Source organism: Homo sapiens, chromosome 7, assembly GCF_000001405.40.
Source record: "Homo sapiens chromosome 7, GRCh38.p14 Primary Assembly".
Classification (NCBI taxonomy): domain Eukaryota; kingdom Metazoa; phylum Chordata; class Mammalia; order Primates; family Hominidae; genus Homo; species Homo sapiens.
The window spans coordinates 92,137,189-92,152,787 of NC_000007.14; the positions used below are offsets into that span (position 1 = coordinate 92,137,189).

The 15,599-nt window shown below is 42.7% G+C and overlaps 1 protein-coding gene and 1 long non-coding RNA gene across 6 annotated transcripts in view, besides 3 other annotated features; one reads left to right on the plus strand and one right to left on the minus strand.

The window, feature by feature from the left end:
* CYP51A1-AS1 (CYP51A1 antisense RNA 1) overlaps nucleotides 1-15,599 on the plus strand; it is a 46,163-nt gene that overhangs the window by 2,626 nt on the left and 27,938 nt on the right. The window contains exons 2-3 of one of the 2 annotated variants that reach the window (NR_122109.1): nucleotides 1,579-1,763; nucleotides 5,214-5,546. The exons of the other annotated variant lie outside the window; for it this stretch is intronic. This is a non-coding gene — a long non-coding RNA (CYP51A1 antisense RNA 1). The remainder of the gene's footprint in view (nucleotides 1-1,578; nucleotides 1,764-5,213; nucleotides 5,547-15,599) is intronic. 2 annotated transcript variants of the gene reach the window in all.
* Nucleotides 254-454: a silencer, noted in NCBI's record as "peak6634 fragment used in MPRA reporter construct". NCBI's record gives its function as "represses an SCP1 promoter by STARR-seq MPRAs in K562 erythroleukemia cells {active_cell/tissue: K562}" and the evidence as "EXISTENCE:reporter gene assay evidence [ECO:0000049][PMID:32103011]".
* Nucleotides 434-634: a silencer, noted in NCBI's record as "peak6635 fragment used in MPRA reporter construct". NCBI's record gives its function as "represses an SCP1 promoter by STARR-seq MPRAs in K562 erythroleukemia cells {active_cell/tissue: K562}" and the evidence as "EXISTENCE:reporter gene assay evidence [ECO:0000049][PMID:32103011]".
* Nucleotides 654-854: a silencer, noted in NCBI's record as "peak6636 fragment used in MPRA reporter construct". NCBI's record gives its function as "represses an SCP1 promoter by STARR-seq MPRAs in K562 erythroleukemia cells {active_cell/tissue: K562}" and the evidence as "EXISTENCE:reporter gene assay evidence [ECO:0000049][PMID:32103011]".
* Nucleotides 4,455-15,599, minus strand: part of LRRD1 (leucine rich repeats and death domain containing 1) — a 37,500-nt gene continuing 26,355 nt past the window's right edge. For 3 of the 4 annotated variants that reach the window (NM_001384933.1, NM_001384932.1, NM_001384934.1), the window contains exons 3-4: nucleotides 13,346-13,507; nucleotides 4,455-5,641 (exon numbers count right to left, since the gene is read on the minus strand). In NM_001384933.1, coding sequence (NP_001371862.1) covers nucleotides 5,622-5,641; nucleotides 13,346-13,507 — 182 coding nt within the window. In that variant the 3' untranslated portion in view covers nucleotides 4,455-5,621. Of the gene's footprint in view, nucleotides 5,642-7,653; nucleotides 7,887-8,894; nucleotides 9,013-13,345; nucleotides 13,508-15,599 lie in introns of those variants that run through there. The other variant, NM_001161528.2, reaches the window with a different exon arrangement.

Here is a 15,599-nt window from a genome sequence, read left to right on the forward strand (position 1 = left end):
CTGTAATCCCAGCTACTCAGGAGGCTGAGGCAGGAGAATCGCTTGAACTCGCAAGGTGGAGGTTGCAGTGAGCCGAGATTGTGCCACTGCACTCCAGCCTGAGTGACAGAGCAAGACACCGTCTCGAAAAAAAAAAAAAAGAAAATATAGCTATATTCATGAAATGACATTATTTATGTAAATAATTATTTTCAATAAACATTTTCATTTATTTTAATTTGTAATACTGTAAGTTTTGATAGATATAATCCATTTAAAAAAATGACTCTCTAGGGTTCTTAATAATTTATTATTTTAAGTCCTAATGTAACCACCCAAGGGGTTCACCTTGCCTGCTGCCTAGACAGAGCCAATTCATCAAGGCAGGGGAGTTGCAATAAAGTAATTCACGCAGAGCCAGCTGTGTGGGAGACTGGAGTTTTATTACTCAAATCAGTCTCCCTGAGCATTTGGAGAGCAGAGTTTTTAAGGATAACTTGGTGGGTGGGAGTTGGGGGGTAGCCAGTGAGCCAGGTGTGGTGATTGGTCAGGGGTGAAATCACAGGGAGTTGAAGCTGTCTTCCTGCCTTCAGTCAGTTCCTGAGTGGAGGCCACAACATCAGATAAGCCAGTTTATTAGTCGGTGGTGCCAGCTGATCCATCAAGTGCAGGGTCTGCAAAATATCTCAAACACTGATCTTAAGAGCAGTTTAGGGAGGGTCAGAATCTTACAGCCTCCAGCTGCATGACTCCTAAGTCATAATTTTTAATCCTGTGGCTAATGTTAGTATAGTTCCCAGGCAAGAAGGAGGCCTGTTTTGAGAAAGGGCTGTTACTGTCTTTGTTTAAACTATAAACTACAAACTAAGTTAGTTTCTCCCAAAGTTCGTTCAGCCTACACCCAGGAATGAACAAAGACAGCTTGGAGGTTAGAAGCAAGATGGAGTCTGGCTGGGCATGGTGGCTCACACCTGTAATCTCAACATTTTGGGAGGCCGAGGTGGGTGGATCATTTGAGGTCAGGAGTTTGAAACCAGCCTGGCCAACATGGGGAAACCCCATCTCTTCTAAAAATACAAAAATTAGCTGGGCGTGGTGGTGGGCGCCTGTAATACCAGCTACTGAGGAGGCTGAGGCAGGAGAATCACTTGAACCTGGGAGGCAGAGGTTGCAGTGAGCCGAGATAGCACCACTGCACTCCAGCCTGGGCAACACAGTGAGACTCTGTCTCAATAAAAATAAAAATAAAAAAATAAGCAAGATGGAGTTGGTTAAGTTAAATCTCTTTCATTGTCTCAGTCATAATTTTGCAAAGGCGGTTTCAGGTTCCCTTCATAGACACAGAGCAGTTGTCCTGTCTGAAGTTTACCTCTCTGCTGCTCCTCAGTGAATGGGCTTTCTTTAATCCCTCCCCATTAAAAAAAAAAAAAGTCCCATTCCCTTGCAGGAAAACTGTAATGCCTACCCACAGGGATTGGTCTCCCTCTGGCATCCACAGCCCACCCCACAACACTCCAAACCCCAACTCTACCTTTCACCAGCAGAGCAATTCATAAGACACAATTATGCAAAACATAATAAATCTGATTTTTTCCGTAGGAGGTGGTTCAGGAAAACGGTCCCATTTGGCACCTCAAGTCTAGGTCCCTCAAGTCTCTACAACAGTATGCAAAGAAAATGTTCATCTTCATTCTTCTTATAGTTTTCTGGTAACTTACTGAACCAAGCGCACACACACTCTCCAAGGACAAACATTTTTCAGTGCTGGGACAATGCAAATTCAGGTAAGGGAAGACAAACATTTCCCTAAGTGCAGATAAATCTACACTGATTTTCCTACTCTTAACAGAATGGGTTGGGCATGGTGGTTTATGCCTTTAATCCCAGCACTTTGGGAGGCCAAGGCATGTGGATCACGAGGAGAGGAGTTCAAGACCAGCCTGGCCAGAATGGTGAAACCCGTCTCTACTAAAACTACAAAAAAAAAAATTAGCCAGGCATGGTGGTATGTGCCCGTAGTCCCAGCTACTTGAGAAGCTGAGGCAGGAGAATCACTTGAACCCAAGAGGTGGAGGTTGCAGTGAGCTGAGATTGTGCCACTGCACTCCAGCCTGGGCGACAGAGTGAGACTCCGTCTCAAAAAACAAACAAGAAACAGAATTGGACTGTACAGGATTGTGCTGAGAGAATCAGTTTTCCTATTATTCATTCTCTGGATTTCAGACTATGCTAGCTAGAGCATTTGAAACAACAGGACCAATGGGACCATCTACTGCTGGTGGATACTTTTCAGTGACCCAAAAGATCTGGCAGTAGCTTTGAAATTATTGCTTTTCTTTACAGTAGGTCAGAGTAAATTATCACTATTTTTTAATTTATTGCTTGTAATTTGTGTCATATCTAAGAACCATCTAACCCAAAATTTATACCTATGTTTTCTTCTAAAAGTTTTATGACTTTAGCTTTTCTATTTAGAACTTTGATCCATTTTAAGTTTTGTATATGGTGTGAGGTAGGGCTCCAAATTTATTATTTTGCTGGTGGATCTAGTTGTTACAGCACCATTTGTTGAAAATACTGTTTTTCCCCCAGTGAATCATCTGACACCCTTGTTAAAAATTGATTAACTGGGCTGGGTGCAGTGGCTCATGCCTGTAATCCCAGCACTTTGGGAGGCCCAGGCGGGCAGATCACAAGGTCAGGAGATTGAGACCATCCTGGCTAATATGGTGAAACACTATCTCTACTAAAAATACAAAAAAAAAAAAAAAAAAATTAGCCAGGCGTGGTGGCAGGTGCCTGTAGTCCCAGCTACTCGGGAGGCTGAGGCAGGAGAATGGCGTGAACCTGGGAGGCGGAGCTTGCAGTGAGCCGAGATCACATCACTGCACTCCAGCCTGGGTGACAGAGCGAGACTCCATCTAAAAAAAAAAAAAAAAAAATTGATTAACTGTATATGTTAGGGTTTATTTTTGGCCTCTCAGTTCTATTCTGTTGATCTATATGTCTATCCTTATGCCAGAACTACACTGTCTTGATTACTGCAGTTTTGTATTAAGTTTGAAAGTGAGATCCCAGCACTTTGGGAGGCCAAGGCAGGCAGATCACCTGAGCCCAGGAGTTCGAGACCAGCTTGGGCAACACGGTGAAACCCCATCTCTAAAAAATACCAAAACATTAGCTAGGCATGGTGGTGTAGGCATGTAGTCCCAGCTACTTGGGAGGCTGAGGTGGGAAGATTGCCTGAGCCCCAGAGGTTGAGGCTGCAGTGAGCTGTGATTGTGCCACTGCACTCCCGCCTGGGCAGCAGAGTGAGACCTTGTCTCAAATTAAAAAAAAAGAAAGAAAGTGAGAAGTATGAGTTCTCCAACTTTCTTATTCATTTTCAAGATTGTTTTGACTATTTTGGGTCCCTTTAGGTTTATTTCACTTTAGGATCAGTTTGTCAATTTCTGCAATGAAGCCAGCTGGACACTTTTTTCTTTCTGTTTTTTTGTTTTTTTGAGACGGAGATCTCACTCTGTCGCCCAGTCTGGAATGCAGTGGCACAATCTTGGCTCACTGCAACCTCTGCCACCTGGGTTCCAGAGATCCTCCTGCCTCAGCCTCCCAAGTAGCTGGGACTACAGGCATGCACCACCATGCCTGGCTAATTTTTGTATTTTTAGTAGAGACAGGATTTCACCATGTTGGCCAGGCTGGTCTCGAACTCCTGACCTCAGATGATCCATCCACCTTAGCCTCCCAAAGTGCTGGGATTACAGGAGTAAGCCACCGCACCTGGCCTACTTTCCAATATTTTTAAAAAGATTTTTGGGTTGGGCGTGGTGGCTCATGCCTGTAATCCCAGCACTTTGGGAGGCCAAGGTGGGTGGATCACCTTAGGTCAGGAGTTCAAGACCAGCCTGGCCAACACAGTGAAACCCCAACTCTACTAAAAATACAAAAAATTAGCTGGGCATGGTGGCAGGTGCCTGTAATCCCAGTTACTCTGGAGGCTGAGGCAGGAGAATTGCTTGAACCCGGGAGGCGGAGGTTGTAGTGAGTCGAGATCATGCCATTGCACTCCAGCCTGGGTAACAAGAGCAAAGCTCCTTCTCAAAAAAAAAAAAAAAAAAATTATCAGAGGGTGATATGGTTAGATCAGTGTTTTTAGAAGATAAGTCTGGTAGCAATGTACGGTGTGGTTTGGGCGAGTCTATGGGCTAGGATATTTGTTAAAAAGTGTGTAATTGTAGCAATTTAGCAAAAGTTGATAAGAACTGACGCTTTCGTGGTTCTGATGTTACCCAGCTTTCTTCTTTTCTCTCTGTCTCTCTCTCTTACTTCATACCAAAGCTTCACCTAGAACATTTTCTAGTCTTTATAACTTCATTTCTGAAGGAAGAGTAGAGAAACCAGTTCATATCACTTAAATTTTTTTAGGTCTTAAGTTTGCTCATTTGTTAAATGAGAAGATAGACTTCACTAGACAATTTCCAAGGTCCTTCACACTTTAATGTTCTATGGAAGTACCTTGCCTCCAGTGGAAAACATTAACAACAACCATCATTAAGCCAATATAAACCCACAGGTTCTCATCCCTACTGCAAGAAGTTTTAAAATAGGGAAGGATTAGAGACACAGGCTGTATAGTTGTTAAACCAATGTTATGTTGCACTTCCAAAATGGCAACAAAATATACACTTTAAATTTTAACCTGCAAAATAAATTTATTTAATATGGTCTCACATAGAAAATTATTTTTTAAGGTAACAAAAACTGCACTATGTCCACAATATTTTTTTTTTTTTGAGACAGAGTCTCGCTCTGTTGCCCAGGATGGAGTGCAGTGGTGCCACCTTAGCTCACTGCAAGCTCTGCCTCCTGAGTTCACGCCATTCTCCTGCCTCAGCCTCCCGAGTAGCTGGAACTACAGGCGCCCGCCACCATGCCCAGCTATTTTTTTGTATTTTTAGTAGAGACAGGGTTTCACTGTGTTAGCCAGGATGGTCTCGATCTCCTGACCTCGTGATCTGCCCGTCTCAGCCTCCCAAAGTGCTGGGATTACAGGCATGAGCCACCCTGCCCGGGCTCCACAATATTCTTAACCACTTGTATTAGGTCTCTTTCCATTCAAAGTTATGGAAACCCAGGTCACACTCCTTAAGTGGGTGAAAAGTAAAAAGTGCAGAAGTATGGGGATTGAGGATCAGACAACATAAACAAGGTTCTGTCTCTCTCTTGGCATCCAGCTCTCGGCAGACTACTACACACTGTGCATGATATACCAAGACTAAAAGACTCATAACCTACCCGCAGAAAGAGTGCATCTTCCATAGTAGCTCTGCAAAAAGATCCAAAAGAAACTGTTAATGGCCTGGCTTAAGTCAAATTGTGTCCGGAATTGGTGGGTTCTTCGTCTCACTGACTTCAAGTATGAAGCCGACCCTCACGGTCAGTGTTACAGCTCTTAAGATGGCGCCTCTGGAGTTTGTTCCTTCTGATGTTCGGATGTGTTCGGAGTTTCTTCCTTCTGGTGGGATCGTGGTCTCGCTGGCTCAGGAGTGAAGCTGCAGACCTTCGCAGTGAGTGTTACAGCTCTTAAGGCGGCGCGTCTGGAGTTGTTCCTTTCTCCCGGTGGGTTCCTGGTCTTGCTGGCTTCAAGAGTGAAGCTGCAGACCTGCGTGTTGAGTGTTACAGCTCATAAAGGCAGTGTGGACCCAAAGAGAGAGCAGCAGCAAGATTTATTGCAAAGAGCGAAAGAACAATGCTTCCGCAGTGTGGAAGGGGACCGGAACAGGTTGCCACTGCTGGCTCAGGCAGCCTGCTTTTATTCTCTTATCTGGCCCCACCCACGTCCTGCTGATTGGTCCATTTTACAGAGAGCCCGAGTGGTCTATTTTGACAGGGCGCTGATTGGTGCTTTACAATCCCTGAGCCAGACACAAAGGTTCTCCACGTCCCCACTAGATTAGCTAGATACAGAGTGTCGATTGGTGTATTCACCAACCCTGAGCTAGACACAGGGTGCTGATTGGTGTGTTTACAAACCTTGAGCTAGATACAGAGTGCCGATTGGTGTATTTACAATCCCCTAGCTAGACATAAAGGTTCTCCAAGTCCCCACCAGACTCAGGAGCCCAGCTGACTTCACCCGGTGGATCCCGCACCCACCGGGGCCGCAGGTAGAGCTGCCTGTCAATCCCGCACCGTGTGCCCGCACTCCTCAGCCCTTGGATGGTCGATGGGTCTGGGCGCCATGGAACCGGGGGCGGCACTCGTCGGGGAGGCTCTGGCCGCACAGGAGCCCACGGAAGTGGGGGAGGCTCGGGCATGGTGGGCTGCAGGTCCCGAGCCCTGCCCCGCGGGAAGGCAGCTAAGGCCCGGCGAGAAATTGAGCACAGCAGCTGCTGGCCCAGGTGCTAAGCCCCTCACTGTCCAGGCCGGCTGGGCTGGCCGGCCGCTCCGAGTGCGGGGCCGCCGAGCCCACGCGCACCCGGAACTCGCGCTGGCCCGCAAGCACCGCGTGCAGCCCGGGTTCCCGCCCGCGCCTCTCCCTGCACACATGCCTGCAAGCTGAGGGAGCCGGTTCCGGCCTTGGCCAGCCCAGAAAGGGGCTCCCACAGTGCAGCGGTGGGCTGAAGGGCTCCTCAAGTGCCGCCAAATTGGGAGCCCAGGCAGAGGAGGCGCCGAGAGCGAGCGAGGGCTGTGAGGACTGCCAGCACGCTGTCACCTCTCAAAATGGCTTTTCCTGGGTCAGAATCAATCATTATGGTTAAATGAGTAGAAGATATTGATGTTAGTGCTGGAGTAGGGGAAGAGACTTACACGACAAGGTCAGCTCCACATTGAAATATGTGCAATGCATTCCCCCTATGAAAGGTTTTCTGATAGCAGAAGAAGGGGAGAGGCTCACATGACAGACAAGACAACAGATGGCCACTCTATCAATCCTGTCTGGACACTCAACTGAAGGATTACTGGCCCTGGCCCTAGTTTATGTTTAACAAAGCTATCCCATTCCTAATGGAGAAAAAGTAGGAATGGTATATTTATTTCTGTTTTTAAACTAGCATCTAAAAAGAAACTGTTCTGCTTTCTAACTCCAGTGAAAATCACTAGTAATGTTGCTACTTATAAATCGGGGGTTGTATAAAAGCATTATATAACAGAAAAATTTTAATAGAATTATTTTCAGGCTAGGCATGGTGGCTCACACCTGTAATCCCAGCACTTTGGGAGGCCCAGGCGGGCAGATCACAAGGTCAGGAGATGGAGACCATCCTGCCCAACATGGTGAAACCCCGTCTCTACTAAAAATACAAAAATTATCCCGGCGTGGTGGTGGGCGCCTGTAGTCCCAGCTACTCAGGAGGCTGAGGCAGAAGCATCACTTGAACCCAGAAGGCAGAGGTTGCAGTGAGCCAAGATCACACCACTGCACTCCAGCCTGGGCAACAAGAGCAAAAACTCCATCTCAAAAAAAAAAAAAAAAAAAAAGGAATTATTTTCAAATGCAACATCACTATAATAAGACAACAGAACAAACACACAAAACAGTGTCTGTAATGTTTTATTATAACATTAGAGTGATAGTTATAAGTTGTCATCATCTCTTAAGAATGAAAGAAAAAAGATGCAATTCTCTTGTATGATAAAGTGAAGTGAAATGGTTCACAAACACAGTTTCAATTATAAGTGCATCAAAAGTTTTCAGTTTTTATTATTGATCCACTGGTTAGAATTTAATTGCACGCGTAAAAAGATTTAAAGCTGTTATTTTGTCCATAATTTCATATGCTCCTATCATAGTTAGTGCTCGAATTAGTTGATCTCTTAAAGCAGCAGCAGTTAGTGATAACTTGTTACTTTGTGTTTTCCATATAACAAGTGCTTGGTGGGCTCTCTCACTTAATGAAACAGTGCTGAAAAACATTATTAATAATATTAATAGTTAAATATTTATTAACGTTTAATATATTTAAATTACTGATAATTATCTGAATTGTCAATTAAGAACATTGCTTTAAACTCCTGTAATATTGTATATCTAGGTTTTCAAACCAATTTTATCAGACTGAAGTGAGGATGAAATTAATTGGTGAAGAGAATCTCTATAAAAATTTGGCATGGAGCTTGGGACATAGAAAGTGAATGTTAGCTCCAGCCCATCCCTTGTACCCTTATAGAAAATCAGCAATTCAATTTACATTCAGTTCTCAAGACCTCAAAATCATAATTGTGGGTTATTTCTAATAAACCAGTATATTACTGCTACTATACTATATGCTTTTTTTTTTTTTTTTTTTTTAGACAGAGTCTTGCTGTCTCCCAGGCTGGAGTGCAGTAGCACGATCTCAACTCACTGCAAGCTCCGCCTCCCGGGTTCACGCCATTCTCCTGCCTCAGCCTCCCGAGTAGCTGGGACTACAGGTGCCCACCACCACACCGGGCTAATTTTTTGTATTTTTAGTAGAGGCGGGGTTTCACCGTGTTAGCCAGGCTGGTCTCAATCTCCTAACCTCGTGATCCACCCGCCTCAGCTTCCCTAAATGCTGGGATTACAGGTGTGAGCCACTGCACCCAGCTACTATATGCTTTATAGCTTGATCTCACTTGATTCTCATGACAATTCTCTTATATGAGTATATTCATTTTACCAGTGAAGAAACCAAGTCATCAAGAAGTTAAAGGACTTGCCCAAGGTCACAAAGCCAGTTGTGAGTAAAAGTCAGTCTGTCCTCATAGCCTTTGTTCTTTATTATGTTATATGGCCTTCCAACATGGATCACAAACATGTAATAAACTAAAATCAGCTTTCTACAGCAAAGTAGAGATTGTGTTAATACGAATGTTTCAAAACCATGCAATATCAACATGATATACATCAGAATGAGAATAAATTTGTACTAAATGCTGTCATTTATACATACCTCTTTGTAGGCATATCAGTTTCTGAGTTTGCCAGGTTTAGTTTTTGACATAAAAATTCAAAATTGGTTTCAGTGATGTTGTTGGCAACTATCTTGAATATCTTCTCTAAAATTTTCTCTACGTTTGAACATAAAATAAAATGTATATCTTTTGAAAAAGATAATCTATTTTGAGTTCATATTATATCTAGTTTTCTTATTTCTGTGCTTCTATGAAATATATATGTTAAGTAAAACTGAAAATGACAATGCTGGCCGGGCACAGTGGCTCACGCCTGTAATCCCAGCACTTTGGGAGGCCGAGGCAGGTGGATCACCTGAGATCAGGAGTTCAAGACCAGCCTGGCCAACATGCAAAACCCCATCTCTAATAACAATATAAAAATTAGCCAGGCATGGTTGTGTGTTCCTGTAGTCCCAGCTACTCGGGAGGCTGAGGCAGGAGACTCACTTGAACCGGGGAGGCGGAGGTTGCAGTGAGCTGAGACTACACCACTGTACTCCAGCCTGGGCAACAGAGCAAGACTGTCTCAAAAAAAAAAAAAATGACAATGACAGCCATGCGCGGTGGCTCATGCCTGTAATCCCAGCACTTTGGGAGGCCAAGGCGGGTGGATCACCTGAGGTCGGGAGTTCGAGATCAGCCTGACCAACATGAAGAAACCCCGTCTCTACTAAAAATACAAAAAATTAGCCGGGCGTGGTCGCACATGCCTGTAATCCCAGCTACTCGGGAGGCTGAGGTAGGAGAATCGCTTGAATCCAGGAGGCAGAGGTTGCAGTGAGCCAAGATTGCACCATTGTACTCCAGCCTGGGCAACAAGAGTGAAACTCCGTCTCATAAAAAAAAAAAAAAATGACAATGACAATGCAGATCTAAATTATGAACTGAAATTTGAAACATTTGACATTTGTTCCATTTTTTTCTAAAATTTGAAAAATCCAACACTTAAAATGGCTGTTGAAAAGAATATTTATAAGCAACTTTTTTTTTTTTTTGAGACAGAGTTTCACTCTTGTTGCCCAGGCTGGAGTGCAATGGCATGTGATCTGGTCTCACCGCAACCTCTGCCTCCCGGGTTCAAGTGATTCTCCTGCCTCAGCCTCCCGAGTAGCTGGGATTACAGGCATGCGCCACCACACCCAGCTAATTTTTTGTACTTTTAATCGAGATGGGGTTTCTCCATGTTGGTCAGGCTGGTCTCGAACTCCTGACCTCAGGTGATCCGCCCTCCTCGGCCTCCCAAAGTGCTGGGATTAAAGGCATGAGTCACCACACTGGGCCTATTTATAAGCAACTTTAAAGTGACTTCCAAGCCCTTTAATTTCTCCAGGATTTGAAATGCATTTGACTGCTTCCTTCAATTCTGGCTTTTTTATGTGCGTGGGTGTGTTTTGTTTTGTTTTGTTTTGTTTTGTTTTGTTTTGTTTGGTGGAGAATATGGGCAAAAATTGTACGTGCTTCTTTATGTGCCAACTTGAGAAACTAAGTTCACATCTACTATAAATATGGTGTATAAGTGCATATTTTATATTCAAGTCAATTATTTAATAAGTTGGCTGAGCAATTAGTGATTTTAGTTTTTTTAATTAAAACTTCCAGCTAATTTGAACAAGATCCATTTTTTCTTGACAAAGGTACTGTGAGTTTTTTCTTTTCTTTCTTTTAGACAGGGTCTCACTCTGTTGCTCAGACTGGAGTGCAGTAGCATAATCACAGGTCACCACAGCCTCGACCTCCCAGGCTCAAGCGACTCTCCCACTTCACCCCCGCAAGTAGCTGGGACCACAAGCATGTGCCGCCATGCCTGGCTAATTTATTATTTTTAATTTTTATTTATTTACTTATTTTGAGACAGAGTCTGGCTCTGTCACCCAGGCTAGAGTACAGTGGCGGGATCTCATCTCACTACAATCTCCGCCTCCTGATTAGCTGGAACTACAGGTGCCTCCAGATTAGCAATTCTCCTGCCTCAGCCTCCCGAGTAGCTGGAACTACAGGCACGTGCCACCATGCCCAGCTAATTTTTGTATTTTTAGTAGAGATGGGTTTTTGGCATGTTGGCCAGGCCAGTCTCAAACTTCTGGCCTCAAGTTATCTGCCCACCTCAGTTTTTAAAATTTTTTGTAGAGACAGGGTCTCACTATACTTGATCTTAGCCAAAAGGCCGAGAAGCAATAGTCTCACTATATTGCCCAAGCTGGTCTCGAACTCCTGGGCTCAAGCAATCCTCCTGCCTTGGCCTCCCAAAGTCCTGGAACTACAGGCATGAGCCACTGCCCCCAGCCTGTGAGAATTTTCAGAACTCGAGATGTACCATCCCGCGTGATCAAATATGTTCTATTTTAAAAAGTTTTATATATACTCTCTCAGGCTATATTTCATGCTATGATATATATATATATATAAAATTCCAATCTTCTAAGTAAAAGTTTAAGAAAAAGGCTCCATTTGTTAATTGCAGATAAATACATCTCCCATACTGATTTCTTTCTGCCCTCACTGGATGCCAAGCCTGCAATATGAAGGCTCCTTGGGTGTAGGGAAAGGAGATAAATGGCTGAGATTCTAAGCCCTTCTCTAAAGTACTGTATCTAACAGAAATACTTTATGGATCCTAGAAAACCCCGAAAATCTTTATTCTATAGAAATAGAATTACCATAAAAGATCCTTTCATTTTTTAGACGGAGTCTCGCACTGTCACCCGGGCTGGAGTGCAGTGGTGTGATCTCGGCTCACTGCAACCTCTGCCTCCCGAGTTCAAGCGATTCTCCTGCTTCAGCCTCCTGAGTAACTGGGATTACAGGTGCCCACCACCATGCCCAGCTAATTTTTTGTATTTCTAGTAGAGATGGGGTTTCACCATGTTGGCCAGGCTGCTCTTGAACTCGTGACCTCGTGATTCACCCACCTTGGCCTCCCAAAGTGCCGGGATTACAGGTGTGAGCCACCACACCTGGCCAAAAATCCCTTTTTATAGTAACAATTAAGACAATCAACTTGCACAGTAAGTTAAAGAAGACAGCTACTGTGGCTTTTAATTTTGTATTTTAGGTTCCTTTATCAATAAAGCCCAAGTCTTGCAAAAGCCTCTAAATGATAGCCATGTATATGGATGTATATTGTGACTTTAAAGACTAAGCAATTTTTCATGACTGTCTCACTATGAAATTACATTAGTACAAGCTCCTGATTATGTAGACAAGATACATGATAGAATGATCTGAAGGGATAGTTTTTGGTATTCCATTTCCCCAAATCTGGATCATAACTGATTGTTCTCTTGCATTAAATTAGAGGACCAAAATCTGGATTCATTCTGACTAGTGATGAAAAGTGGCAAATCAGAGTCCTAGGGAAAAGCCTAACTGTTGCGAACCCAGCCCCAGGGAAAGAATTGGACAGTGAAGATTCCCTCCCAGACACTTGAAGCCAGTCTTCATCTAGTCCCTTTTAAAGAAAATGGGCCTGTTCTCAGAAATAATCAGACACACAACAGAGAGCTCAAGGACGGATGGGATAAAGACTATCAAAATATTTCAGACAGATGGTCATAGTGGGACTGACTGCCATCAGTGGAATGGCTCCATGGTTTTCCCTCAAGGCCGAATGTATTTTATTTATTTATTTATTTATTTATCTTTAAAATAGAGACAAGGTCACACACTATGTTGCCCAGGCTGGTCTCGAACTTCTGAGCTCAAGTGATTGTCCTGCCTTGGCCTCCCAAAGTGTTAGGATTACAGGCATGAGCCACCACACGCAACTCCAAATGTCTTTTAGAACAACTACATTTGGTAGAACAGATTGGAACTGACAGATTTATGTGTGGATTTTGAGTCTGGCCACAATCTCAATGAAACACCTATTGAAGGGCATTAAGGTCAATAGGGTAGGAAACAGCCCACCCCTCCTCCACTTGGATTTGCCTATTTTCAGTGCCTCAATTTGTGTGGACCTGGATTACGTAATCTGAATTATCAAAACAAACTCCTAAACTTAAGAAAAGAAAGATCATCAATATTTTCATATCTCTGCCAGATTGAAAGCCTCCAATTAAAGCAAACCATCTTTTAATTCATATCAGATAGTGTCTTGTGGCTTGGTGTGGTGGCTCACGCCCGTAATCCCAACACTGAGAGACCAAGACAGGAGGATTGCTTGAGCTCGGGAGTTCAAGACTAGCCTGGGCAACACAGTGAGACCCTGTCTCTACTAAAAGATTAAAAAATTAGCCAGGTGCGGTGACACATGCCTGCAGTCCCTGCTACTCAGGAGGCTGAGGTGGGAGGATCACTTGAGCCCAGGAGTCCGAGGCTGCAGTGAGTCGTGATCATGCCACTGCAGTCCAGCCTGGGTGTCAGAGTGAGACCCTGTCTCCAAAAATATTAAAATAAAATAAAATAAAAAAGAAATGACTTGTTAGATAGTCAATCACTCATCACCTACCATCTCTTTCATCTGCCCTCTGTAGATAGCGTGCAATAGTATACAACTGTTTTCCTTTACAGATTTCCACTGGAGGTCTCAGCAAAGGGTTGTCATCAAAATTTATCTCCTTCAGTGAAAAAATATTGTAGATAGCACTAGGTAGAGCTGTCAGATTATTTCCTAGTAGAAAAAAATTAGAATTGAATTACATCTTTCTATAAAAGAAAACTATGGAGACAAATAACATCTGTTATGTCTTGCTGGCAAAGTACCAGAGGACCCTCACAATGCAGCAGGTCATAAATTATTTCTGATGTCCACATGCTAAGAGCAAAAAAGAGTGTTTATAGAAAGACAGCTGTGGTTCCTTTCTCTCCTAGGGGTGGCAAAATGAGACAGAGACTATCCTCTTTTAATACAGCAAAGAACTTTATAGAGTGGATGTGATGGTAATTTTTAAACTAAACTGTTTATTTAGCATAATTTTTGATTCATAGAAATGTTGCAGAGATTGTAGCAAGTTCTTCTGCATTCCTCATCTAGCTTTAGTTTCTCCTAATGTTATCACATTATCATATTACATTTGTTTAATCTAAGAAACCAGTATTGGTATGTTACTACTAAATACACTTCAGATTTTTTTGGATTCATTAGTTTTTCCATCAGTGTCCTTTTTCTGTTTCAGGAAATCTCATTGCATACTTTTATGTCTCATTAGTCGCCTCTGGTTTGTGATAGTTTCTCAGTCTTTCCTTGTTTTTCATGACCTTGACAGTTTTAAGAAGTACTGGTTATGAATTTTGTAGAATGTACCATAACTTGAATTTGTCTGATATGTTCTCATTATTAGACTGGGGTTATGGGTTTTTGGAAAGAATACCACAGAGGTGAAGTGCACTTATCACATTATATCAGAGATACCTCATATCCGCATGACATCACTAATGATGTTAAATTTTATCGCTTGGATAACACAGTCTCTGCTAGCATTCTCCAAGATAATGTTATAATTTTTTTCCTTTCCATACTCTATTCTTTGGAAGTAAGTCACTAAATCTAGGCTACCCTCAAGGGGGAGTGGGAATTAAACTCTACCTTCCTAAATGTAATTTTTTCAATACCATCCTAATCCAATGTAAACCTAAGATAAAAAGTAAAACCAGTGGTTCACGCCTGTAATCCCAGCACTTTGGGAGGCCGAGGTGGGTGGATCACCTGAGGTCAGGGGTTCAAGACCAGCCTGGCCAACATGGCAAAACCCCATCTCTACTAAAGATACAAAAATTAGCTGGGCATGGTGGTGGGCACCTGTAATCCCAGCTACTCAGGAGGCTGAGACAGGAGAATTGCATGAACCCGGGAGGCAGAGGTTGCAGGGAGCCGAGATAATGCCATTGCACTCCAGCCTGGGAGACAAGAGCGGAACTCCATCTCAAAAAAAAAAAAAAAGAAGTAAAACTGTGGTAAAAATGAATTTGTAGTCATTTAGAGAGGCCTAAAATTTGCCTTTATATTATTTATATATTTTATAGTTATATTATTTATAAATATAGTTAAAGGAAACTGGTTCCTTTTAGTGAATAATCATATTTAGAAACCAAGATCTGGATACGATGCTTCTGGGAGTGTGTGTGTGTGTGTGTGTGTGTGTGTGTAAAATATATTTATTATAAACCTAGAATTTTATATATGTATATATACACACACATACATGTATAACATATATGTTATAAATCATAGCACATAGTCTTTAGGGTCTGACTTCTTTCACTTAGCATTACAACAATATCAGTGTTGTGTGTATCAATAGTTTTTTTCTTTTTAATAATGAGAAGTATTCCATTATATAGATGTAAATAATTTATCCATTTAATACATAAATGACATTTGAAGAGCTTCCAGTTTTGGCAATTACAAAGGAAGCTTCTCTATACATTTGTACTCAGTTTTTTGTTGAATAAGTTTTCATTTCATGTAAAAGAGTAGTTGAAGTGAGATTGATGGTTTGTATGGTTAAGTGTATGTACAACTATATAAGAAACTACCAAACTTTTCTAAAGGGTTGTACCATTTTGTATTTCTTTCATCAGTGTATCAGAGTTTCAGTTACTTGTATTTTGATAGCTTTTGGTATTATCAGATTTTAATTTTAACTATTCTTTTTTTTTTTTTTTGGATGGAGTCTCGCTCTGTTGCCCACGCTGGAGTGCAGTGGCGTCACCTCAGCTCACTGCAACCTCCACCTCCCGGGTTCAAGCAATTCTTCTGCCTC